The following is a 27471-nucleotide window of genomic DNA, read 5'->3' as shown; positions in this document are numbered from 1 at the left end:
GTAATTTTGGATTTCTTTTTATTCCTTCCCTTTCTTTCTCATGGAAAAAATAGTTTTTGATGAAGCCCAAAAGAAAAGAGAGCTCAATTATTGATCAGTGTTGCTGATTGCAGAATAGAGAAGTACATTTCATAGATTGCATTTGAGGTGTTTTTAATTGATTGATTCATTATTTTTTCAAACACAAAGGAGAATTCTGAGAAAGTTCTTTTTGAAGCCAGGGAAGTCGTGAGAAGCTGTTTTCAACTATTCTGTTGTAGACTAGTTGAAAAGCACAGTGGAAATGTTTTCTTTCAAACTATGTATTTGTTTTTAGCTTTTCCTAAAAATGTTTTTAAACACATGCTAAGGCCCCTTTACCGAATTAATTTATTACAAAGAGCAACGTACAACTCCAAAGCAGAGGTTTGAATGCTGAACTTTAATATTTATAGAGGGCAAAACTACACACACATGTTCTTACACACAAATGCATATTTACACATATACATAGACTAACAAGCAGCCTTGAAACATGTTCTACCTGAATTTGCTTAAGAAGATTGTTTCTTATATTTCCAAATTGATATGAATTGTACTACCTTTATAATTTTCCCTATTTCAGTGAATATCAACAGAGGCAAAGGAAAAGTTAAAATATTTGGCTTTACTTACAAGTTTACATTGTGCTTGATCATAAATAATTCATATGTGTACAAGTATGTGTATTTGTTGTGGTTGTATATGTATCTGACATTAAAATATCCATTTATATTTATTTCTATAATTGGTTTTGTTGCTGCAGCTTAGACTCGGAGTTCTTGGCTCTTGGGTAAATAGAAATTAACACCAGGCCAAATGGAAATTTTTCTTAGGCAAGGTTTAATAGGCTTGCAGCTCGAGAAAAGCAAGGGAGTAGCTCTCTCAAGGGCTTGGCTCTTGTCATTTTAAGGGAGCTGAGGTGAGAAATGGTGTGACATGTAGACACGTAGAGGTGGGGAACGTTTAGCACCTACTTAATTTGATAACATGTTTCTTCAAGCCTGTGTGATTCATTAGTATGCTAAATCTCCACCCCTGGGTCTGTGATTTCTAGTATTATAATGAAATTATAATGAGGGAAAAACTCAGTGAAAAGTTAGCACTGGAGTCCATCTTGTCTTTAGCTAGCTAGATCTGCTCAGGTTTTTAATCAGGAATGCCACATTCCCGCTTCAGCAATCTTGGAAGAAGTAACTTAAGAAGATTAATAGATAGTTCGATTTTTCCTTTTATGGTTGGGAATTCATCTTGGTCAGCTATGTTGGAAGGGGGCAGCTTTCTGCTACATGAATTGGGTCAACTTGTTAAGGGAGGCAAGAAGGTGGGGGAGGAAATATGCCCAGACATGTGAAGACCACTAGGATCTCAATCACCATGTCTCTTGTCTACCAGGACTGAATCTCTTCCCTGTACTGTCTCAGTTTTGCCCATAGGCCCTCAATTGTCTTTTCCATCTATATTTTCTTCTTCAGTTTCACTGAGATCACTCAGATCATTTTGCATACACACACACACGTACATAAAACAGTATGTCTCTAAAAGTCTTAAGACAGATTTACAGAGTTAACTTCAGAAGCAGATGCTACAAATTTTTTTAAAATACATATTTTGAAAGTTTAACCATTTGAAATTCTTTACATCATTTCGTTTTGTAAATTCTTAATAATCAACTTTTAATTTAAATTTCTATTTCAGTTTGCCATTTTCAATCAGATAGATGGAAACAAAATGTCAAATATATGTTATATATGTATACATTGTAGTTACTGTCTACTTCTTCTCCTTAACACCTTCTGTCCAGATTGATTTTCCTCTGCACAACTCCCATCACATTGATATGGGGTGGAATTTTAATTCGGGGCTATCATGTGTAGTACATACATTAATTTTTCCCTTTTGTAAATGTTTTGTTTTTCTAAAATGAAAGGCCTGTTTGCTTCTTTTTTTTGTTTTAGATAATGTAGACCAAAAATAAAATTCTAAGCCCCCTAACCAACTGAATGGACCACTCCTTTTAGCCTAGGGCTTTCCACAGTTAACCTGAAATCTAGTTCAGGCCATGATAGGAAGGAAAGGTCAGAAATGCCTCATTATACCCTCCTCCCACTGAAATTTATGCACAACTGACCAGTATTAACATTAACATTAAAACAGAGAAGACCAAGAAACAGACTCTTTGTAGCAATAAGAAACCAAATTCCAACCTGACTCTAGCATAGCATCACATGACATATAGCAGGCCCTGAATAAAATGGAATTATTTTATCCCAAAATATATTTTTGACATATTTTGAAGTAGCCTTGTAAAGCTGTCTCTTGTGGGTAAAATCTACATTCTGTACAGAATCCCCTTCCCTTTCCAGGTGTTTTCCCTGAGCCAGGAGATAATTAATAAGAGTCTGGCACCTTTTTTATGTCTGATAAGAAACATTTACAATCTATTGTCTCTGAAGCCTGCTTTCTGGAGGCTTCATCTGCATAATAAGAACCTGGGTCTCCACAATCCCCAGTCTTAACTCAGATATTCTCTTCTATTGATTCTATGTCTTCAAATAATAACTATTTCAACCAATTACTAATTAGAAAATCTTTGAATCCACCTATGACCTGGAACGCCCTGCCCCCTTGCTTCCAGTTGTCCCACTTTCTGGATGGAACCAATGTACACCTTATGGGTACTGATTGATATCTTATGTCTTCTAAAATGTATAAAACCAAGCTGTAGCCCAAGCACCTTGGCAACATATTCTTAGGACCTCCTGGGGTTGTGTCAGAGGTCACTGGTCATCATATTTGGCTCAGAATTAATCTCTTCAAATATTATACAGAGTGTGACTCTTTTTGCGGACAATAACAAATTTTTAAAGATATTTTATTATATTTAACTCACATGTATCTTACACGTCTTTTGTATTTTTTAAGTAATTTTCTATTATCATTATTATTATTATTATTATTATTATTATTATTGAGACAAGGTCTCAGTCTGTTGGCCAGGCTGAATGCAGTGGTGCAATCATGGCTCACTGCAACCTTGCCTTCCCAGGCTCAAGTGATTGTTGTGCCTCAGCCTCCCGAGTAGCTGGGATTCTACAGGCATGCACCACCATACCCAGCTAATTTTTGATATTTTTGCAGAGATGAGGTCTCACTATGTTGCCCAGGCTGATGATCTTGAACTTTGGGCTCAAGCAATCCTCACACTTTGGCCTCTCAAAGTGCTAGGATTACAGGAGTGAAGACCATGCCTGGCAGAGTACAGTTTTCAAAAGCTTTATTGTGGGATTTCTCTGTGGCTAAGCTTCTGAGGTATTTTAAGCCAAGAATATTATGGGACTGCTGTTTTGGTGTTTTTTGATAGTTATAAAAGCTAGACTCAGTTATTTTTCTTCAATATGTTAAAAAGTCTACTCCTTTGTTTCTTGTATCTAAATATTGCTCTTGACGCATCTGCTGTTAAATACTAATTATTTTGTAAGTTATATCCTCTTTTTCTCTAAAAATGCTAAGAATTTTTTCTGTTTTTTAAATAGTTCTCTGGGCATCCTTTCAGTCTGATGTATTTCATCTTCTTTTCATTCTGATAAGTTTATCTCTATTATTTCTTTAAAGAATTAATTCTTTACATTTTAACATTTTCCCTTCATTGGGACACCTGATGGTGCTTTCTACCTTTCATATCTTTCAACTTTTAAAATTATTTACTTACTTCTTTATTCCTCCCTGCTTTCTTCTTGGAGAATTACTCAAATTGATCTTAAAATTCATGAATTCATTATGTTATTTTTCCAAAATATTTTCATTTTTTAAATGTAAACTTGTATGTTTTCATACTTAAATTGTATAATTGATCTCTTTTATTACTTGTTTTTCTTTAATAACTTTCCTTGACTCTTTGCATGTGTATTATGCTTATTCAAAAACCATTGTCCACATTTGACTGTCTGGTGCATCTGATGATATTCCTTTTCTTATTTATTAGGATTTTTTGAAGTGGATGGTTTCCTCAGATATTTGTCATCTTTATCTCTGAAGAGATCAAGAGATTTTAGGTCCTAAGTGACTCTCTGACTTCCTACCATTTCTTCTGATTTTAGCTCCATCTTTATCCTCTTTTCAAAAGTATCTTGTGCAGATAGATTTTTCATCTTTTAGGGCATCTCCAGTATAAATCAGGCTTGCCTCTCAACTTTCCACTCTGCTAGCTTAAGATGGAGTGTTCTTGGTTTGGCTAAGTGATTTATAACCACCCATCTGCTTTCCAACATACAAAATTTTGTTGCCATGGTCTCTTTTCCTATTTTTTTCTGATAGCGTATGTTTAATTTATTTCTTTAAAAAAATCCTCATTTTAATAGGTGTTTGGGATGTAGCAGAGATGAATTACTGGTTCAGTCTACTATCGTTATTCAGAATTCTCTGTTTGGCCTTCAGATACCTTTCTTCTAGTTCCCATTCATGAAGTTTTCTTTGTCTTTCCATTGGAAGGATGATTACATTATCTCCTGGGGATGTTTAATATTTGTATTTGAAAGTTATTACAATGTCTTCTGTCATAGGTCTTATATCCCCTAGTCAAATGTATTATTATTTATCTCTGTGCCTTTAAACAAAATTTAATTAGTGCACATTGCTTTATTAATACAAATTTACTTGTCAGTCCTAAAGAGACCATGATAAACTAATGTTATTTACACTTTTACCTCTAGCGCCAGTTGGATATTTTCAACAACAACAACAAAATGAAGGAAATAGCAACTACCTTCTTATGCTCTCTACTCTCTGGCCTTTATGCTTACCAACATCACTGTGTTTGCAAAAATCATTGGTTCTATTGTTAGAGAGATATTGCATATCTAGGCCCTTGCTTATCATGAAAAAATTCACAAATTCATCCTGCAATGCAGGGACATAATCTTTCTGTTGTGTGCACAGATATGACTGTGATTATATCATAGTGGTAATAGTGATGTCTATCAAACAAAGAAATGTGTTTTTCTATATAGAAAAATAATCCACCTAGAAATAAAGCTACTCTTTCTTCAGTGCGATAGCTAATTCCCATTCTGTATAATGATATTTGTGCACATTGACCTACAGCAGAGAAATCCTCTCAAATATGAGTGCCTGTCAGGCTTATGTCTCTATTAGGTTAACTTGGTGTCCTCTTTTGCTATATATTTGGTCATTTTGCAAGCCTAATTTCCTTTGCTTTATCTCAGGATAAGAAATAGTGACTTCTCTAGTAAGAAAGATATGGAAACCAAGAGTGACTTGGAAAAAAATTAAATATAGGAGGGTTTTAAAAGTGTTATTCACAAGCCTTCTGTCCCTATGGCATTCATTAATGGCAGTTGCTGCATTTAATACTGACAGTTATTAATGCTATTATTTAAAAGTTGTAATCACAAGCAATAAACTTCAAATTTATCTCTTATCAGACATTAAAAGCAACTGCCCAATGTTAAGCAGTAAAATCCTACTTAAGGTAACCAGAGCTGTTGGAGGAATCAGGCTAATATCTAAGCAAGTTTTCTTTGAAAAGATGCCCATTGATAGGCATAATGGTCTTTTACGCAAACATTTAGCTTAAAATTTGGTAAAATTTGTTTTAGATTTTTGTTTAGATCTGTTTTATAAATCACATCATTATATATCCTTTAAGGGCAAATACTGTATGTTCGGTACGCTTGTATCCTCAAAGAGCTAGCAGGCTATCTTACATGGCATGGCTGTGGTTTATTAATGAGAATACTGCACATGATGGGGGTGATACAGCCTTCAGAAAACAGCATGGAGCACCAGTGTCTACACTGATGATAACTACAATAGCTGTGATTCCACACTCATGTATTCCAACAAATATTGTTGGGTTACTGATGATGGAAAACAAATCACTAAATTTCTCAAACCCTTACATCTAGGAATCTAAATGCAAATTCAGTTTCCTCTCAAATGTGAGTGCCTGTCAGGCTTATGTCTCTATTAGGTTAACCTGGTGTCCTCTTTTGCTATATATTTGGTCTTTTTGCAAACCTAATTTCCTTTGCTTTAACTCAGGATAAGAAATAGTGACTTCTCTAGTAAAGAAAGATATGGAAACCAAGAGTGACTTGGAAAACACTTGTATAAGATTTGGAAATGAGGAGTTAGATGGGGTTGCTCCTCGTTACTTTGGCTTGTGCTGTTTGAAAGAAGATTGGTAGAGACCTGGAGTTTTTCTGGAATGTCCAATGATTCATTTCATAACAGCTGAAGGGTAGTAATGTCTTCAGGTCCTTCAATTGCTGTAACTGTCCTTTGATCTTGTGACTTATCTGATGCAGTATTGGCTTCCTGACTCCACACCTTCCTGGCTGCATAGTGTGAGTAGCAACCTTGATGTATTAGTTTGAGTTGTGGCTCTGCAAGATTTGAGCATGCTCTCCCAATCCTTCATGAAATTTTGTAAGCACCTAATCTCTTGTATTAAATATGCTCCTGCTTATAATATTTCTATTGCTTTTTATTACCTGCTACTGATCCCTGACTGTTACAACAGCTAATGCTTTCTAAATGGTTACTATGAGGCAGACGTTACAAAAAGTAAATTATGTAGATTATCTCTGAAATTATTAATATTTTGTAGTTGAGAAAACTGAGGTCCATAGGCCATATTTGCTAGTGGAGGGAAGAACCATGACTGGAACCAAGGCTCAGTCAGGAACAGGCCTCTTATGAGACTCATTGCAAAAAGTGCTGTAAGTAATTGATTATTAATCATTGGTTATTAAGATAACTAAACTTTTGAGTAATATACTTAAAAATGTAAAAATGAGTGATTTATTGGATTAGAACATTTCAGAGGCCATTGGTCTGTCAGGCTGACTTATATGCTTTCTTGAAAGGAAGGCAAATGGATGGAATTACAGCTATAGAAATGTGCATAACCCACAGTCTATCTCAGTTATGCCACAACCATTAGGAACATAAGATTTATGTGGATTTTATTTGACATGTATGTTCCATTTAAAAGTGTAAGAATTGATGTTTGATATAAGTGCTTACATATCGACTCGTGCACAAGCAGTACAGTATCTTCAATTCATTTTATAATTAATTATGTGATGAACAACAGAATCAGTTTTGTGCAAGTGTGCATGTGTGTACATGTGTGTTTGTGTGTGTATGCGTGTGCGTGTGTATTGTGTGGGGATAAATATATATGTGTTCCCCAGAAATATAAACTGAGATAGCATTTGTAACTAAAAATATAATGTCATTTTGGTAACACGCACTCAGATACTAGAATGTTCCCAAGAAAAATTTAGAAATGGAAACCTAATAAAATTTAATGCCAGAAAGCCTCTGAGAAAGCTATTTGAAGGAATAAACATATGATTTTAAGTGACACGGTTTGAGACTAATAAGATTTATTAATAATCACCTAAATAATATAAAAATAATAAATTAGTTAAGATAATAACTAATATTAATGATAGCAAAATAATTCAAAGTCTTAAGGACATGAGACCATAAAAGTTACCTTCTTATTCACATACGAGAACAATGCAAGCATTTTTGGTGAGAATCTCTCCAAATCCATGACTCAAGAAGCCTGGGTGTGTTTGCTGGTTGGTTGGTTTGTGAGCAAGATCTAAAGGTGGCATTCATTATTTCCTTCATCACATTCATTGCAACTTAATATGTTCATAACTAACCAAAAGAGAGTCTGGCATACATGTTAAAGTTCTATGTCCAGGAATGAACTCAGCTCATATTCTCTGGCACATAATCCTAAACATTATGTGGAAAATAAATCAATGTTGCTTCTCAGAAATGTCCTGAAAGAGTGAACACAGTAATACAGTTGTTTCATTGTTAAATATCCAAATAGAGACAGCAAAATTATAATTCACCTGAAGCATAAAAAATATATCAAAAATAGCCTTTCACATAAATAAGTTGATGAGAGTTGTATTTCTTTCCATGATTTTCTGTGTTCCAAAAGCTTGGTAGTTCTGTCAATGCAATTCCCAAACTATGAAGCAGTTTAATTCTGCAAAATGTACTAGGCTTACTAGTTATTCTTAGACAAAAGTTGTTTGAGCAATAGTTAGAACTTTTCTTCAGGAAAAGATTCTCCTGTGGCACACCTCAAACGAATTACTTTCAGAACCCTAGCACTTACATTTGGAAAATCACTTCAGATGATTATGTGCACACATCTTAACCACATCTTAACAACCCCTCCCTTCTCCTCAAGAAACACCATAGTTGTTATAATATCAACCATTTTGAAACTTCTAATATCCCAGCTTATTTTTTTCAGGAAAGATAAACACAAGTAGATATTTATCTAGTGACCACTACAGTTTGGAAAATGAATAACACTTTCCAAAAAATAAATTTCAAAATATCAGCAAGTTGAGTACCTACCACATATCTCTTACTATTCTCTTATACTAAGAAATATATAAAATGAGGTGCTGTATTTTGCCCTTGATGCTTGTAATCTCTCTGCAAAGACATTTCTGAAACCATTATAGAAAAAGACTGTGCCAGAGAAAATGTGTGGTCACTGAATATTACTTCAGTGCTCTATAATTCCTAACCTCCCTTGCAGTGAGATTGACATTCTATGATTGGTACTTCCCAATGAAACATGAACTGAAGTAATTAAAGGCAGTTTAGGAGCCCCTGTGGCTCTTCTTTGTCTCTCTCTTCCCTTGGGACCAAATACCTTAAATGGCTTTACTGAAAGACGTGGCAGAGGGGTGTTCAATACAATGAGACGGTAGCTTAAGCATATAATACATATGTGTGTGCATGAGTGTAGGATTCTTCACTGAGAATCCCCACTGAGATTTTGGGATTCATCTTTTTGGATGACAATATTGATTATGTTGATTAATTAAAAAGCCTCATATAATCATGTGCTAACTTGTGTGGGACAGAAACAAGTAACTTACATTTAAAACACAGATTAATTTATTAATGCAACAAACTTGTTGAATGGGTTCTGTGTGCCACGATTTTTCTGAAACTAGTGATACCAAAAAAGTAATATGTAATGCTATCCTCAAGGACAGATGGAGACATAAGCAAAATGAGTTGAAATAAAATGTTAAAGGTGTTTTATTGAAATGTATTCAGCATACAATGGGGCCCTAAGTAGGTAGTATTCATTTCAGCCTGGGATTGTTTGAATTGTCCCCTAGTACAGAAAAATAATCTCTTAAATTTTTAAAAAAACATTTTTTTCACCAAAACATTAATTGCCTTTGTGGTTTAATTTCATCCAATATTTTGAATAAGTGTTAATGACTTTCAACTTAACTGATGCTATTTTTATTGTCCTCCGCTAATTTGTGTCTGTTTGGCCAGGTGAAACCAGCAGAATCAGTATCTAATAGAACTACCGTTTGTACAGGAATACATTTAGAATTGGAGCATAGGCAGAATAACCACATTGATGACATTCTTACCTAGCATGGACTCTCCTGTTAATGGAGCTTCTATTTCTAATTTTATTATATGCATTTGAAAAGCATAAAAGGAGAACATTTTGCAAAATGAAAGAAAAAGACACCTAATTTAAGTGTGCTGGGGGTGGATCCAATTTTCATTTTGAATAGAATATTGCTTCAGTAATTATCTTACTATTTAAGAACAAGAATAATTAGTGTAGTAATCTCTAGTCTTATAGTACTCACAGTGCAGAGGTGAAAACATTATAATCTCGAGTAAATTATAGAGGTTTAATTATAAAGTTTACATGTAGATGAGACAGCCAAGTATAAGGGGGTCACTGGAGAATGTCCAACCAGCCTGTGTACTTGGAGAATGGGGTGGAGCCATGAAAGTTTGCACCCTTTGTCGGGGGAGGGTTGGGGAGGGAGAGCCTGGCCTCTCCTGATCCAGTGTAGTATCTGGGATTCAAGCTATGAGGTGGGAAAACCAACTAGCAGGACTCTTGCTTTGCTGAGAGTTCCTGTTTCCCTTTTTTTTCCTTTTCCCCCAATAAATTCCATTTTTCTCACCCTTCAAAGTGTCTGTGAGACTAATCTTTCATGGCCATGTGACAAGGACCCCATCCTTAGGTGAACTGAGAAAGTCCTAAAACATAGAGATGTATGTACATGTAAGTGACATTTTTGTAGCACATAAGTATATATGTATATGAAATAAGTAGATACATATTTGTTTTCTATTTTTTTCTGAAGGGAAAGGGTAACTTGTGGCAAAGAAATATTACTTTCGTATTTGAGGAAATCTATCAAGTATAAAGAAACTCTGAAATGACAATATTCCCAAGTCATCTTAACATTATCTAATTTCATAGAAAAAGCTTTTTCATGTGTTCTATAATTTAACATCTAATATTATAAAGTTGAATTAAACTTACCGAGGAATTTATCTGTTTTTATAAATATATAATTTCTATTAATATCTATGTACAGGAAAATGACTAAATTTGTCCCAGGAATTTTGCCATTATAGGAATATTTTATATTTAGACAAAAAATGATATTTTCACACATCAGAATAATTTGTTTCAATTCACCAAATACATATACATATATAACCAGTTCTCTTTTTCCCTAGTCATGGTGGGCACTGGATATACATCTAGTAATGGAAAAAGACATTTTCCCATTTTCTTTGGGAGCATAAAATATTGGTGATGATTGAGGAATATAACAAACTGGACTTTTTTTTGTTACATCATTTTTACAAATCCACTTGAAGATGAAAAACAGGTTATTGTAAATAAGTTTCTAAGTTCTCAGAATTCAGAAACTTAGAAAATGACACAACAAAACACCATATATACATTACCAACTGACAAAACACCTCTCTTTTCTCTCTCTCTACTTCATAGGAATTTTTTTCTCTATTGCTTCAGCCAAGCTGTATCTGAGATATTTCCTATAAAAATAACAAAGATGTAGCTATCAACATGTACAAAAAGAACTTATAAATTGAACAAAATATTATATGTTTTAGCTTATCAGTTTTCAAAATAATATCTTTTTTGTTTGGTACAAAAAATGCATAATCAGTTCCAATGGATTATTTCAATAAAGTTTTATGTCACCTACTCTATGGCAGATGCAACTGGGAATACAGCAATGAATAGGGACTACCCTAAAGAGAAGCAAAATTTTTAGCTTATATAATGAATACTGTGATACTGATTACAGTATTCAATATGCATCCAGTTTCTTTTTGTTCCTTTTCTAAGTCATTTGATTTGGAATTTTACAAAGATAACTGAACATAACATTAAAATCATAAAACTAAATTTATTAATTTATTCATTTGTTCAATAGATATGTATTGGGGCTTCTGTATATCAATGTATCAAGAATTAGCTATACAAAGATTTAAAAATACAACATATTCTACAATTCTATGGAACTGACATCAAAAGGAAAGATAAGCTTTAAATAAATCACTACACAATTAAATTGTAAATAGTCACAAAGGCTAAGTTACTTTACCATTGAGTAAGCCAGGAATTCAATATGTTTATACAACATTGGGTGACATAAAAACACAATATGGTTTTTTTTTTTTTTTTTTGAGATGGTGTCTCACTCCGTCGCTCAGGCTGGAGTGCAGTGGCGTGATCTCAGCTCACTGCAACCTCCGCCTCCCAGGTTCAAGCGATTCTCCTGCCTCAGCCTCCCAAGTAACTGTGACTATAGGCGCCCACCACCATGCCCAGCTAATTTTTGTATTTTTAGTAGAGACAGGGTTTCACCATGTTGGCCAAGATGGTCTTGATCTCTTGACCTCCTGATCTGCCCACGTCGGTCTCACAAAGTGATGGGATTACAGGCATGAGCCACGACACCCAGCCATGATTTAATCATCATATCCTATTAGGCAAATAGATATTTTCCTCATTATTCATATGAATTGACTAGTGCTTAGGGAGGCTATGTAGCTGAGCTGGAAACAATGTGGTAAGCATCAGAACAGGTATTCAAACTCACAGCTGTCTGAGTCCAAATGTCCATCTTAATTATTATGCAATAGTAAAACGTAAAAGGCATTTTCAATTTTCAGAGAAACTCCATAGGCATAACCTCATATTTGATTGGAAAATTGTTATTCAAACTCATAACTCTCTGAATTCTGCCAAAAATTTCACTGATGTTCACTATTAATCTGGTGAGTAGGTGAGAGCACATGTGTGTGCAACAATATGACATCCAGGCTCTATGCAGCCAGAATCTACAGGTCAAAGTGCAAGAGGCTATCTTTCTACTTTATCAGATCAGATGCACCATTAGCCTACCCCAAGAGAGTAGCACATTTCTACAGAAATGTGTTTGCCATATTATCAGCCATGCTACATTAAACATTGAAATAAAAGGAATTTTACTCCTACTTTTTACTTCTTATTTGTTCCAAGAGATAATAGCAACTAGAGTATCAGCTTTGAAAATGTGTGTTGGGAGTCATATTACATAACCCAATCTAAAACAATGATCTTCAATAATTACGAAAGATTAATCTTCTTTAGTAAAAATAATCTATGTATAACAACTTGGATTTATCAGTATGCTCTGGTTTGAGGTTTTTAAAAATATAACACACAAGAAAAAATTCAAAGTAAATGAAAACTTAAAAACCATTAGATAAAGCAAAATTGTTTTTTATTTGTGGTAATGACACAATGAACTACTTTTTGATACCTCAAACATATCAATATCAGTCTTTTATGGCATAACATCCATTACTCTAAATCCTATGCAATTTTATGCTACAGAATATATAGAATGAAACCTGGACCTTGAAGTCAGAGAGAGATGAGTTCAAATCAAAATCTGCCATGTACTACCAGTACAATTTTGACAAGTATTATAGACTGAATTGCATTCCCTCAAAATTTGTATGTTGAAGCCTTAGCTGCTAGTCTTATAGAGGGTGACTGTATTTGGAGATAGGGCCTTCAAAGAGTCACTTAATGTAAATGAGGTCACAGAATAGAACCCTAATCCAATAGGACTTGTGTCTTTCTAAGAAGAAGCCAGGGGTTGTGGCTAATGCCTGTAATCCCAACACTTTAGGAGACTGAGGGAGGAAGATTTCTTGAGCCCAGGAGTTTGAGACCAGCCTAGACAACATGGAGAGACTTCATCTCTACAAAAATAATAAATTAGCCAGGCATAGTGGCATGTGCCTGTAGTCCCAGCTACTTGGGAAGCTGAGGTGGGAGGATTGTTTGAGCCCGGGAGGTAAGGGCTACAGTAAGCCATGAATCATGCCACTGCACTCTAGCCTGGGAGACAGAGCAACAGCTTATCGTAAAAGAAGAAGAAGAAGAGGATATACCAGGGATGTTCACTCATTGAGAGAAGGTCATAGGAGGACATAGAGAAAAGGCAGCCACCTGCAGTCTAAGAAGAGGGACCTCAAAAGCAAGGAAACCTACTGTCACCTTGATTTTGGACTTCCAGCCTCTAGAACTGAGAAAATAAATTTCTGTTGTTTATGAGACACAGTCTGTGGTATTTTGTTACAGCCCTAGCAAACTAACACAGCAAGTAACTTAAACACTTCATATATCAGTTTTCTTATTCGTAATGTGAAAATAACAGTTCCAACTTTCAGAGTTTTTATTAGAAGGAAAATACTATATGTAAATTCCCTGCCACCCACATCTGAACATATAAATGTAAGTATTTCACAACGTCATATTCTGTATAAAATACCAAGCAATGTCAACTCAAGTTTGGAATCATTTAACTTTTTCTCCTTATTGTCTATTTTCTGTGAATTGAATCATAACATGCCAATTTATTAACATAATAGAGAATGGCCTTAAAATACTTACAAAGGCTTTCTATGAATTCTACCATTTCATTGACTTGTCACAGCAAACAACAAGTTTGCCATTTCAAACCATAGTTCTGAATGTGTATCTGTGGTGTGGCAAGTAAGGAACTAATTAAGTATGAAATTACCTTGTATATCTAAAGCTATGTCTGCTCACCTTTAGGCATTTTGGGAATCCACCTAATGAGATATGAGTTTTGCTCCACAGGACAATCACAAAGCTCATTAATGCTCATTAAAACATAAGTAGTATTCAATGGATTCCGCAAAATCTCACTGTATTTTAATGAACATCTGAATTATGCAATGGAGCAAAACCCTGTCAAGGAGAAATTCTTGTTAGTGCAAAAGGAAAGTGCAGGCCAATACAGATAGTAAATACTGTAAGTTTAACTACATGTAGACACATCTGTGACAAATAGAAAACATATTTCCAGAAGTTCATCTCTTAACAATTAAAAATAAATCTGTCTAGGTTGATTTGACAAGCATCTGAAATACTAGAGAGAAGTATTAATGCAATCGCTAGATTATTTGTCAATAAGAATGTTTTGAGTTGTTATTCACACATTGGATTTAAGAAAGTTGAAAATCTTCTGTTTTATAACTCATTTTGAAAACATTGTAGGTAAATGATGAATAATTATTAACTGAGTAGATAAGTGACTTTAATATTAAAGTCTATATATTCATTTACATACGTATAGTTTTTTCTGCACAAATATTTGAATGTCCACTGTGTGTTAGACACATACTAGCACTGAAAGTAAGAGTGATCAAAATAGAATCTTAATGTCACAAAGCTTATATTCCTAAGAGAGAAAGAGATGATAAATAAACATGTAAATATGGAACTAGTTAATAAGAAATATAGAAAACATAAAAACCTGGTAAGTGTATACATAGTAGAGAGAGAAGAACAAGCACTGTTACAGATAGGGTGGATGGAAAAGGTCTCTAAGAAGTTGTTATTTGAGCAGAAACAGGAATGAAGAGTAAGCCTTGGGCATATGTGAGGGATGAGCTTTAGGGACAGAAGTAACTGCAAGTATAAATGCCTAGAGGCAATAACAGACTTAGAGAAATACTCGTAAGGCCAGTGTGCCTGAAATGCAGCAAGCCATGAAGAAAGTCACAGGCGGTGAAATTAGAGCCATAATCAGGAAGAGCAGCACCAATTTTCAGGCTTCCAAAAGAATCTAGATTTTATCTAAGTGTGATGGGATCATTCGAGAACTTTGAGTAAAAGAGTAACTTGATTTTACTTCTATTCTAAAAGACTCTCTCTGATTTCTACTTGGAGAAAAGGTCATAGTAGTTTGGACAAGGGTGACAGTGAAGCCATTGAAATGAGGATGACAGGAGACTTGGCAGAATTGAATGATGGATTGAATATGGTGTGTGATAGAAAGGAAAGGGCCAGAGGATGACTTGAAGGGTTTTAGTCTAATATATTTATTGGCCAAATAAATGTTTGACATTTTTCAAATAAGAGCTTTTATTTTTTTGTTTCAAATAAATTGATATTAAAATGAAATAGGCCAAGTACAGTGGCTCACACCTATAATCCCAGCACTTTGGGAGGCTGAGGTGGGAGGATCACTTGAGCTCAAGAGTTGAAGGCTAACCTGGGAAACATAGTGGGACCCTGTCTCTACAAAAAAATTTAAAAATTAGCTGGGCTTGCTGGCACCTGCCTGTGGTCCCAGCTGTTCCTGAGGCCAAACTGGGAGGATTGCTTGAGCCCAGGAGTTCGAGGCTGCAGTGAGCCATGATCACAACACTGCACTCCAGCCTAGTGATAGCGTGAGACCTTGTCTCAAAAACAAAAATAGAAAGACAAAACTCACAAAATAAATATAAAACAGAAATAAATAAATATTACCTCAAGAACATAAATTATAAATGAAGCAGTTCTCATGAACCAGTGCCAGGACCAATTCTGCTCTCACTCAGGATGTTCTGACTTAAGGAACCATTCTATTTCCAAGATTTAAGAACCATATCAATCCTCACATCTCCCAAATGTATGAGGAGACTTCAAGAAGTTCTTGGCAAATAGAATTAAAAAATGTAAATAAATAATATAAACTTTCTCAACATAAGCTCCATCAGGCTTAAGACAGCTAAGTGATGATACAAGCCATTCGGTTCATCCTTAAAAACCCAAGGTTCCTGAGAATTTAACCATGTCAATGCAATCTTTTCATATTATTGAATGAAGAAAATTGAGTACTCTTTAAAGATTTTTTAAGATTAGGAAACAAAAAGAAGTCAGTGAGGGCCAAACCAGGACAGTAAGGTGGATGCCTGGTGATTTTCTATCAAAATATTAACAAAATTGTCCTTGTTTGATGAGAGAAATGAGTATGAGCATTGTTGTGGTAAAGAAGGACTCTCTGGTAAAGCTTTTCCAGGCACTTTTCTTTTGGAGTGTTAGTTAACTTTCTCAAAACAGTCTCACAATAAGTAGATGTTATCTTTCTTTTGTCCTCCAGAAACACAAAAAGCAAAATGCTATGAGCATCCCCCAAAAAACTGTTGACATGACCTTTGCTTTTGCTTTGACTGGACCACTTCCACCTCTTGATAGCCATTGCTTTGATTGTGCTTTGTCTTCAGGATTGCCTGGCAAATCCGTGTTTCATCTTCTGTTACAAATTTTTGGAGAAATGGTTCAGGATCTTGATCCCCCATGTTTAAAATTTCCATTGAAAGCCCTGCTCTTGTCTGCAGCTGAACTGGGTGTAATGATTTTGGTACCCATTAAGTGGAAAGTTTGCTTGACTTTATTTTTTCAGCCAGAACAGTGTAAGCTGAACAAACTGAGATGTCTATGGTGTTGGTTATTGTTTGTGCTATTAATCATCATTCCTCTTCAGTGAGGTCATGAAAAAGATGAATTTTTTCCTTGTAAATTGATGTGGATGGCCTGCTGCTGTGGGCTTCATATTCAATATTGTCTAGTCCTTTCTTAAAATGAGTTATCCACTTGTATTGTTTCAGGTTGCTTTAAGGCATTTTCTGCATAAACTTTTCATAAAGCATCAGTGATTTCACCATTCTTCTACCCAAGCTTCACTACAAATTTCATGTTTGTCTTGCTTCAATTTTAGCAGAATTCATGTTGCTCTAATAGGGGCTCCTTTAAAACTGATATCTTATGCTTTTGAGTGCCTCAAACTAGATCTTATTCAGACATGTTATGACAAGTTATTACAAGTTAATCGTGATGCAAAAAAATTGGAACTTCATTCATACTTTTTCCATAATGCACATTTCCATGAACTATGACCCCTCATATGATTTCTTTTCTGAGCTTCAGAATGTGAGTCTTCTTGAAGTTGTCTTAGATATCTTAAAATTATAATGACCAAAGGCAAATTCTTAATATTCTACCACAAATGTGCTCTCCTGAGACTTTATTAATAAAAGTCACTTTCATCCTCCTAGTACTACTACATTAGAAGTCCTTCTTGGTATCTTTCTTCCACATCACTGAGTTCTGTTGATCCTATTTCTAAAATATATCCCAAATGGAACCATTTTTTTCTCTCTCTGTCTGCTTACACTAGCTTTCTCAAAGCCATCATCACCCCATCTGTAAATTACTTTTCTCCCTGCTCCACACTAGCCCTCTGAATAACTTCTCCCTACAGTAATTGGAGCAGTCTATTAAATTTTGATCAACATAGTTTTGATATGGAAGATGAAGTTTCATATATTAGTAACAAATGGTAGTAAAAAATATTCTTCTGCACTTCTGATGCTTCTTCCTATGAAAGGTCATCAATTAATGCAACTCTAGGATTCTCTTCACTGCCTTTGGGAGTGAAATATATTTGAGAAGTTTTGTAAATTTTGAGTAATATCCATCTATGTGCAGCCAAAATCTGTGTTTCTGGAGAGTCAATGTACCTATAGAAATCACAGTTCTCTTTTGCTCTTCCATGCCTTACATCATATGTGGACAGATCATTCCACCTGCTCTAATTCTGTGTGTCCTGGACTGGGTAGAATTCAGTATTAGCAAGCTCATTTGTTTAGTCAACCTAAAGTTATATCTTCAATTTGACCTCTAATGGTAATTAAGTGTTGTTTTAGCTTACATGCTTTTTAACTTGTTCACAACCTCAGTCAGGAAGAGGACTTCTACAGGCAATAAAATCATTATTTATTTTACTTTGTAGCACATTCCTTGTACTAAGATGATCTTGAGGAGTTCATCACATAAAGCCTTTGATATGCCCATAGATGGTAGCATTGACAAACAACATGAGGAAGAGAAAAGCAAATCTAGATGCAGAATAAATGTCTATTTCATTTAGAACAAATTACTGCCCCTCACCTACGATGCAAAGGATCCCATGTAATCAGTTTGCTAGAATATTCTATAGTGGTTAATTTGAGCTATAATGCTAATTTGGGGAATATTCTTAGCAAATTAAGAATTCAGAAAGATAACTCAGGTCATCTGTGTGGAGTAACATGCCATTTTTTTAAGCCTACCATAGTCTATATTCCTGCCCCATGACCATTTTGATGATATATGCATTAGTCAAGCACGAGGCCCTTAGAGGAAGAACCACAACTGAAATTAACAGTAAGTCATCCTCTATGTATAAGACTATCACCAACAGTGGCAATTTTTACATGGGAAATAATAATATTCAGGTCTTGGTCTATTCAGAGTAATCTATCCAGAAACTACCTACCCCAAATTATTTCACCAAATGTGCTCCATTCTGACAGATATTAAACATTGACTATGAATCCACATAAATTCTAAGTTAAAGCCTCTTCTCTTTTTAGCAAAGTGCCTACAATTGGGAAAATATACAGGTATCTTCAGGGATAATAACGTGAAAGCAAGGGAATGTCTCATTTCTCTGGTAAACAAGATTTTACTTGTATTCACTGTGAGCAGGTCTATGCAAACATACCCAAAATCCAAGGAAGCTGAGAGGCCAGAGAAAAAGGCTAACAAATCCAGGTCTTTCTAAAGAAACATTTATAGGGGCTTTCTTTAGCCTCCACACTAGTTTTACTTCTCAAACAATTGCTTATAAACTTCTCATGTTATTTGTCCTACATGAGACTTAGTCATTTGGAACTCCATTCTATGAAGTAATCGAGTATCCTTCTAATTTATTTATTTTTTAACCAAAGTTATGCAAAATCTGCTGCTGTTTGTACTAAAAAAATTGACATGGCAACAAAAGGTACCCCAAATAGGGTATTCATGAATTTAATTGAGATATTAGAATCTTTTGAAGACTTCATCTTTATAAATCGTGTCCACTGAATAATAAAATTTTGTTAAGCTTGCTTGCCTTTGTGTCAGACAGTCAGGTAGCATTAAGGTTAGAATTAGCAAATCTAGGATCTTAGAAATAGCTTTTGGTAATTCTCTGGATATTGTCTAACACAAGTAATGACAGTGAAGATATAATGAAGAAGTTAAAATTTATTAAAGGCACAATTATATGTCTGTCTAAGCACTTTAATTCATTATTTAAATGTTTGTGACAACCCAACATAATTGGTACCAATCATTATTCTCAATGTACAGATGATAAAACTAAGACTTGTAGAGATTAAGTAACTTGTCCAAAGTGGTAGTTGTCTTTTAGCAGTATCATTACTATTTCTTTTAATATCAATACGTCCTAAAGCCAGTTTATAATTTATTTCCAAATCTAATGCATTCCCTGTGTTGGTCACTTATATCACACTTCTGTTATTAAGAATGTCATTCTGTATTTAGAGAACTAGTAGAGTATAGTAGTTAAAAGCATATCATAGACACCTTATTACCTTTTTTGAAATACAAGCTCCGACATTTTTGACCTGTGTATCCATTACTTCACATCTCTGACCTCAGTTTTCTTATCTCCTAACTGGAATAACAATAATATCTATCTTATAATGTTGTTGTGAGGATAAAATTGATTAGTGTATGTAAATAAAGTCAGCTTTGCAAGTAAAATTTTATAAATATCGGTTTTGTAATTGCTGTTTATTATTATTAACAGTATTAACTGTGACAAGAAGTATAGCTAAGACATAAATAAGACTGGTTTCTACTTCAAGTAACTTCCATTCTTATGGAGGAAACAGACAGGAAAATATGTCATTACTAAGTATTATTGTACTTAGTAATATACATATTAGAGGCATATCCAATAATATTGAATAATGAAAGAATGGCAGCAGGTGTGGAGGAGAAGAACTAAAGCTACACTTGAGGTTCACACAATACTTATTAGGAGATATAATACCTGAGTGACTTCTTCTAAGAACACATATATTTAGCCAGGTAAAATTTAGTTTAGGATGCTGATAAAAGCAGAGAGGGTAACATTTGCAAAGGCACGGTGATAAGAGAGTAAAATGTACATGGAGAAAATGCAAGTCCTTAAAAAGGCTTGAAAATACATTATGAGGGAGATGAGATGAGAATTCAGGTCAGAGATAAGCTGAAGTGTTATCATTAAAAAGTCACATTGAGAAAGGGAAACTATTTCCTAAATGCTAGCTGTCCAAGGGATTGGGGGTGGGGATTGTATTAAAAGATTTTAAGTAGAAGACTGGCATGATGCACTAAAATTACTTTGAAAAAAGATCATACTGAAAACAATATAAATAATGGATTGAGGGGAGAGGATGTGGTACAAAATTTAGAAAAACAGATGCTATTTAGGAGTCTTTCGATGCCAAAAAATAAAATAAGAAAATAAATAAAATTATGTAATCTTTAAGAAATTAACAGTGGGAATGGAAATAAGAGCCAGATTCAGGTGAAACTAAGGAATTCGATCTAATCAAATTTCATGGTCAAACTGGTAAGGGAAAAAGAAGTGGCAAGGATGATTTATAAATTCATGTTTATGCTACAGGATGGATTTTAATTTTATTTATAGAGATAGAAACATAGAAAGAATAGAAAGATCCGGGGGGAGATATATAGGAGTTTTATATATATATATATATATACACACACACATATATATGTGTGTATATATATACACACACACACACACACACACACACACACACATATATATGTATATATAAAACATTTGGGCCAAGTGCGGTGGCTCACACCTGTAATCCCAGTACTTGGCGAAACAGAGGTGAGTGGATCACCTGAGGTCAGGAGTTCAAACCAGCCTGACCAACATGGTGAAACCCCATCTCTACTAAAAAATACAAAAATTAGCCTGACTTGATGGCATGCACCTGTAATTCCAGCTACTCTGGAGGCTGAGGCAGAAGAATCTCTTGAACCCCGGAGGCAGAAGGTGCAGTGAACCAAGATCGCACCACTGCACTCCAGCCTGGGCAACAGAGTGAGACTCTGTCTCAAAAAAGAAAAGAAAGGAGAGGAGAGGAGAGGAGAGGAGAGGAGAGGGTAGGGGAGCGGAGGGGAGGGGAGGGGAGGGGAGGGGAGAAGAAAAATCTAACATCATATATGTGTATATCAAGATGTCCAATAGAAATATTGGGATAAGTCTATGGGTCTGCAATTCAGAAGGAATATTTGGCCTGGAAATCCATTTGGTAGCTAACAGCCCATAGGTGGTAGCTGAAACTATGGAACACATAGAATTTCCTCAGTGGGACTCTGAGGAGTAGGAAGAGGGCCAAGGACAGGACTTTGGGAAGTGTGAATGAAAAAGCAGGCAGAAGTTAAGGGAGCCAATATAGGACACAAAAGGAAAGCAACAGAAATGGGAAATGAAGAAAATGTGGAACAAAGGAAAGAAAAAGAGACATTTTTAATAATAAAGCAATTAAGCAATATGAAATATTTAGTAACTAAATTGTCATTGGTGAATCTATGGAGCATATTTTCAATGGAGTGTTATAGGTGGAAGATGGGTAGTAGAAGTAGACAGAAAATATAAAAAATAGAGGAAGAGATTGTAAATTGTGCATGGCATTTTAAGAGGTTAGACCATTAAGCATAGAAGAAGATAGGGGAGGTATATAGAAGGAAATAGGAGAACTGACAATGGAAAAAAAGCCTAGAGATAGGGTAATATCTAGAAAGATATATAAAGTGGACATAGAGATTTTTCTGTATTTGTCACTTCATTTTTAAATTATTTGCACTTCACTGAAGTATAGCTGATAAATTAAAAATTATATATTAAGTAAAATAAGCCAGACACAGAAAGACAAACATTGCATGATGTAAGTTTTATGTGAAATCTAAAAATGTTGAACTCAGAAACAGAGAGTAAAATGGTGGCTTCCAGAAACTAGGGCATGGGAACATGGAAAGCTGTTGGTCAAAGGGCACATAGTTTCAGTTAGGCTGAATGAATGAGTTCTGGAGATCTAATGTACGGCACGGGGACTGTAGTTAATAATAGTGTATTGTATAATTGAAATTTTCTATAAGAGTAGACTTGGTGTGTTTATTACTTCAAATGAGGAAATAGGTTGTATATTGAAGAGAAAACAAAAATAGACAGGTAGAGTTTAAGGATTCAGTTGTCAGAGAAAATAATTGATGGATCCAAGTCCCTGAGATAGAGGAAGGGTTGAGATGCGGAATACTGGTGGAAGTATTTTGTTTATGCGGAAGAAACAATGTTTCCACCAAAATGGAGGAAAAATACTAAGAATGAGCGTGTATATAGATAATTTATAGCCTCTTGATGTTGATAATATCGCAGGTACAAAAGCGAATTTTGATGAGATTTCAGAAAGTCAGGAATGCATAATTGGAAGTGTCTGTATGTTATGTGTACAGGAATATACCAAAGCCTAAAATGAAATAATGCATGTATCCAAATGACTAAAAAATCTACAGTTAATTTATTATGAAAAAAATGTGTGAAGAAATTTTGAGTGGTCTATAAAAAGTGAATACATTAATAAGTTACATTAGCATAGATGACTCATGTTCAAAAGATCTTTTTTATGGAAGAGATACTTATCATATTGCTCACTGACTGTATAATAGAATTTAAATAAATTAGGCCTCAGCTGTTATCTTCATTTCACAAAAAAAGCATGATATTATAGCAGAAAGGGGCAAATTATATTTCAATAACTGGGAGTTCTTAATATGACCAAAATTATGTAAATTCTACCAACCATCAATTTTCTAGGAATTTTAGTTTTCATGCTAATTCACAAAAATCAAGCACAATGTATTTGCAGCTGGCTCAATTCTCCACTAATCTTTCACAAGGGGAGTTAGTTAAGAAATGTACTTGAACTACAGAAAAATATGGCTCATTGAACCAGGTAGTGCCATATTGACACAGTCCCTTTAAGAAAAGATAAATATATTTGGCAAATTTCAGGACTATCTTAGAAAAACAAGCTCCTTGGCATCTTATGTTATGATTTATATGATCAGTAGGACAGTACTGCATTTAAGAGAGACAATGTGCCATGTTACATACTAGAAAGAACATGGTCTCTGCATGCCTAGGGTTTCAATGGCAGTGATGCCACTTGTGACTTTGTGCATTTACCATCTCTGAGTCTCGTTGACCTTGTTGACAAAAATGTTAATGATAGTGCATATCATCAGGAATTTAGTGAAACTTTTCAGATATGTTTGTTTCATTTTTTTTTGTTTTGTATTGTTTTGTCTTGTTTTTTGGACAAGTTCTTGCTGTACCCTGTCTGGAGTGCAGTGGCATAATTATGGCTTCCTGGAGACTCAAATTCTTGGGCACAAGCCATACTCCTGCCTCTGCCTCCAGAGTAGCTGGGACTACAGGCATGTGCCATTATGCCTGGCTATTTTTTAATTTTTTGTAGAGATGAGGTATTCCTATATTGTCCAGGCTGGTCTCAAATTTGTGGGCTCAAGTAATCCTCCTGCCTTGACCTCCCAAAGTGCTGGGATTATAGGCATGAGCCACCTCTTCCAGCCTCTTATTTTTTTAGATGGTAGAAATTTGTATATTATGTTTGAATGATTAGAGAAGAGAGATTAGAGAATGGAAAATTTAAGATTAAAGAGAGAAAATGTGCATTTCAGTGTAAAATCTATATCTTAGTCTGCTATAATGAAATACCGTAAACTGGGTAACTTATAAAGACCATAAATGTATTTCTCAAAGTTTTGGAGGCTGGAAAGTCCAAGAACAAGACACTAGTACATTGAGTGAGGAACAGCTTTCTCATAGATGGTGCCTACTTGCTGTGTTCTCACATGGTGGAAGGGGCAAGGCATCTCACTGGGGTCCCTTTAATAAAGGCATTCATCCCATTCATGAGGGCTCCTCCCTCATGACATAATTACACCCCAAAGGCCCTATCCCCTGAAATCGTTACACTGGAGATTAGGATTCCAAAATATGAATTTTTGGAGCATACAAACATTTAGACCATAGTAATCTATGAGAAGACAGGAAGAGATTAGATATCTAGAGTAAAGATAAGATAATACTCAAAGAAGAAATGATGTGTAAAACATCCCAGGTGTATGTTGACCAAATAATGATATATTCTATTAAAAAAAGGCTATCAAAACAACAGTGGCAATGTACATGAATTCATTAGGGTCTCTAAATGCCTACGAATATGCTATTTTTATTCCCAATAATTGATTTACTTCTTCTTTTCCTTTACCATATTTGTCACTTTCAGCATTTGTCAGTAGTAGTGAAATTACTACCACATTTTCTCCCACATACATGTTGTTTTAATAAATATATAGCCCATAAAATGCCTTGTTATTTTTCTAGCTATAATTCAAATATTCATGCACATTCTCTTTATTCTGATGTATCCAAAGAACAAATGTATGACATGATACATCTGACTCTAATCAGCCCAGCATCCTGACCTAACCTGCTGAGCCTCCACTGTGGACTTCACAAAATCAGATACAGTCTTCTTATGAAAATGGAGGCTAAGAACCAATTCCACTCAGAGGTGAATTTGGTTTGGGCATACAATCTTACCAGTTTTCTGTTTCTGACCTAGCAGCAGCAAGTAGTGTTTCTGAAAAGAAGCATAAAACAATAATTAATATTTTAGCATTTAGAGAATCACCAATAAAAACCAATAAAAATGTTTAAAAATAATTTTTATACAAATAAAAATTAATATTTTAACATTAAGAGAATCACCAATATACAAGGTATTGAAATAAAAGGAAAGCCACAAGAAACAGAACAAAGCAAACAAAATACATAGGATATTAAATAGAATGCAAAATAAATTAAAACTGAAAATCAGAAACCTTTAACACACACACAATTAAAAGATTATATTAAACCCATATTTGTAAATTCTAGATTATCAAATGACACTGACTTTCTTGAGAAACTGGAGAAGCTCTTTATATGCATCCATATTACCACCTAGCTAGATCAGCTTTTAAATATCTTAATCATCCTTACAGCTATGATAGAATCATTGGGCATTTTCATACACAGCTGGAGTGTTGGTATAAACGGGTATGATGTTTCTAGATGGTATTCTGAAGTATCTATCAAGCTTATAGAAATCACTTTTTCAAAATATAATAATTCCATGGAGATAATTAAAATTTTTAAAAAGTTTGGCTGTATGTTTCTGAGAGTATCACTTAACAAAATGAATATTAGAAGTAACTTAAATGTCCCAAATAATACACTGGCTAACTAAATAGTAGAATACTTATTCAATGAACACTTATTTAAAAAATCGTTTAAAATGTAGCACTAAATCTTTTCATTTGGCATGAAAACTTTTCAAACTATACAGTTAATTAAAAATGACAAATGTCCAATATCTGTAAATAAATGTATGATATTTTCAATAAAGGAAATATATAGGTACAAATACATTTGTTACATCTATAACAAATAATAATAGCAAAAGCTAATGATAATAGCAATAGCTATGTTTTCTTATTTTTGTCTTCACAGAAAACACTGCTAGTTGTCATTTTATTATTCAGATAATGAAAGTGAGCCTTAGCTTGGTAAATAAATTGACCATAAGTCATAGAGTTTATAAGTTGTTGAGCCAGGTTTTAAATTTGGATTTCTATGACTGTAAACTACAACTGTATGTTACTTCTGTAAATTCACCAACCTTTTAATAGTGAATACCTTTGAAGTTTATTGACATTTTATTTTTGTTTTGCTTGTTAGTGTTGTCTAACTTTTTATCAGATATATAATACTTCTGAAGAATAAAAAAAATTAAAAGCCAACAATAAGTACATTGGTGATCAGTAAGTTAAGAACCAAAGAATCAGTGATTTTACAATATGTAAATTGTATGGTGATCAATGATGTAAGATAGAGATATATTTAGGTGTGTGTGTCTGTGTGTGTCTATGTGTGCATGCACACACATGCACACAGAAATGCACCATCCCTGTCTATTTTAATGAAAAGCAGTCAGTGGAATTTAAGCTAGAGAAATAAACCAGTCCTTGAGTTTATTACCTTTATCCTTCAACAATTCTTTGTTTGGTCTCATAATAAGGGTTTAATTTTCATTTAGAGTCATACTTAAAAGAATGGCCAAATAATTATTTTGCCTTAAACTTAACATGTGATTTTAGTCTTCTGTCTGCTTATAAAAGAGCAAAATGGGAAGGAAACACCATTTCAAAGAGTCTGAAGAATTTAAAAATGTGTGACTTCCTCTGGCCTTCATTGCAAATTAATTTTTTATGTATATTTTTAATTTGATAGACTGACATTTTTCTCATCTTGACTACATGGATCAGTAACTCCCACTACTTAGCCAAGAGGTTAATGAGAAATTGATAGTAATAACCAAAAATATACCAAGAGGATTTGTCCTGTTTCTCCACCCAAAATAATAATTTGGAGCATCTATCAAGCACTTTCTTGAAAGAGAATAAGCTATGCAAAATGCCAGTGTGTCAAGAAAATGATTTATAACTAATGACAGACAGCTATCGAGATTGCTTTGTTAGACACTTCCACTGTATGTTACCTATTGCCGAATATACCATAGAATTACAGGTTTCTCTCTCTTAAATGTGCACTTAACCAGGTACTTTTTATTGATGGGACAAAAAATTAATCTTCTGTCTTATTTTGTATGGCTAATTATCCAAATAAGAATGTTATGACTTAAAGTCGTGGCACGCACACAAACACACATACATACACACATATACATACACAGATACCTACATACATACAGTGTACACACTTAAACATGTATAATATGCATAATATGTGGTATGTTACATATTGCCATATTTAATAAAATCAATATGAAAGTGTTGTTTCATATTATGTAATATTCTTCAGTGCTAAAAAAATACTATGGATCCATGAAAAGACATGAAACTCATATGCATATAACTAAGTGAAAGAAGCCAATCTGAAAAGGCAGCATGCTCTATGATTCCAAATATATGACATTCTTGAAAATAAAAAATCTAGAGACAGTAAAACGATCAGGGGATGCCAATAGTTGGGGGAAGGGAGGGATGAACGAAGAGCACAGAGGATTTCAAGGGCAGTGAAGCTACTTTACATGACACCATAATGTAGGTACTTGTTATACACTTATCAAAGCCCATACACTGCACAACATCAAGTGCGAATCCCACCATAAACTATGGACTTTGGATGATAATGATGTGTCAATGTAGGTTCATCA

The 27471-nt window shown here is 34.4% G+C and overlaps 1 long non-coding RNA gene across 4 annotated transcripts in view; it reads right to left on the bottom strand.

The window, feature by feature from the left end:
* Positions 1-402: 402 nt before the first annotated feature.
* Positions 403-27471, bottom strand: part of LOC105378797 (uncharacterized) — a 396491-nt gene continuing 369422 nt past the window's right edge. For all 4 annotated transcript variants that reach the window (XR_001737670.2, XR_947505.3, XR_001737671.3 and 1 more), the window contains 2 exons: positions 24795-24834; positions 403-10932 (listed from right to left, as the gene is read on the bottom strand). This is a non-coding gene — a long non-coding RNA (uncharacterized LOC105378797). The remainder of the gene's footprint in view (positions 10933-24794; positions 24835-27471) is intronic.

The sequence above is a fragment of the Homo sapiens genome, chromosome 1 (assembly GCF_000001405.40).
Source record: "Homo sapiens chromosome 1, GRCh38.p14 Primary Assembly".
Lineage (NCBI taxonomy): Eukaryota > Metazoa > Chordata > Mammalia > Primates > Hominidae > Homo > Homo sapiens.
This window is presented reverse-complemented; position numbering and strand designations above follow the sequence as displayed.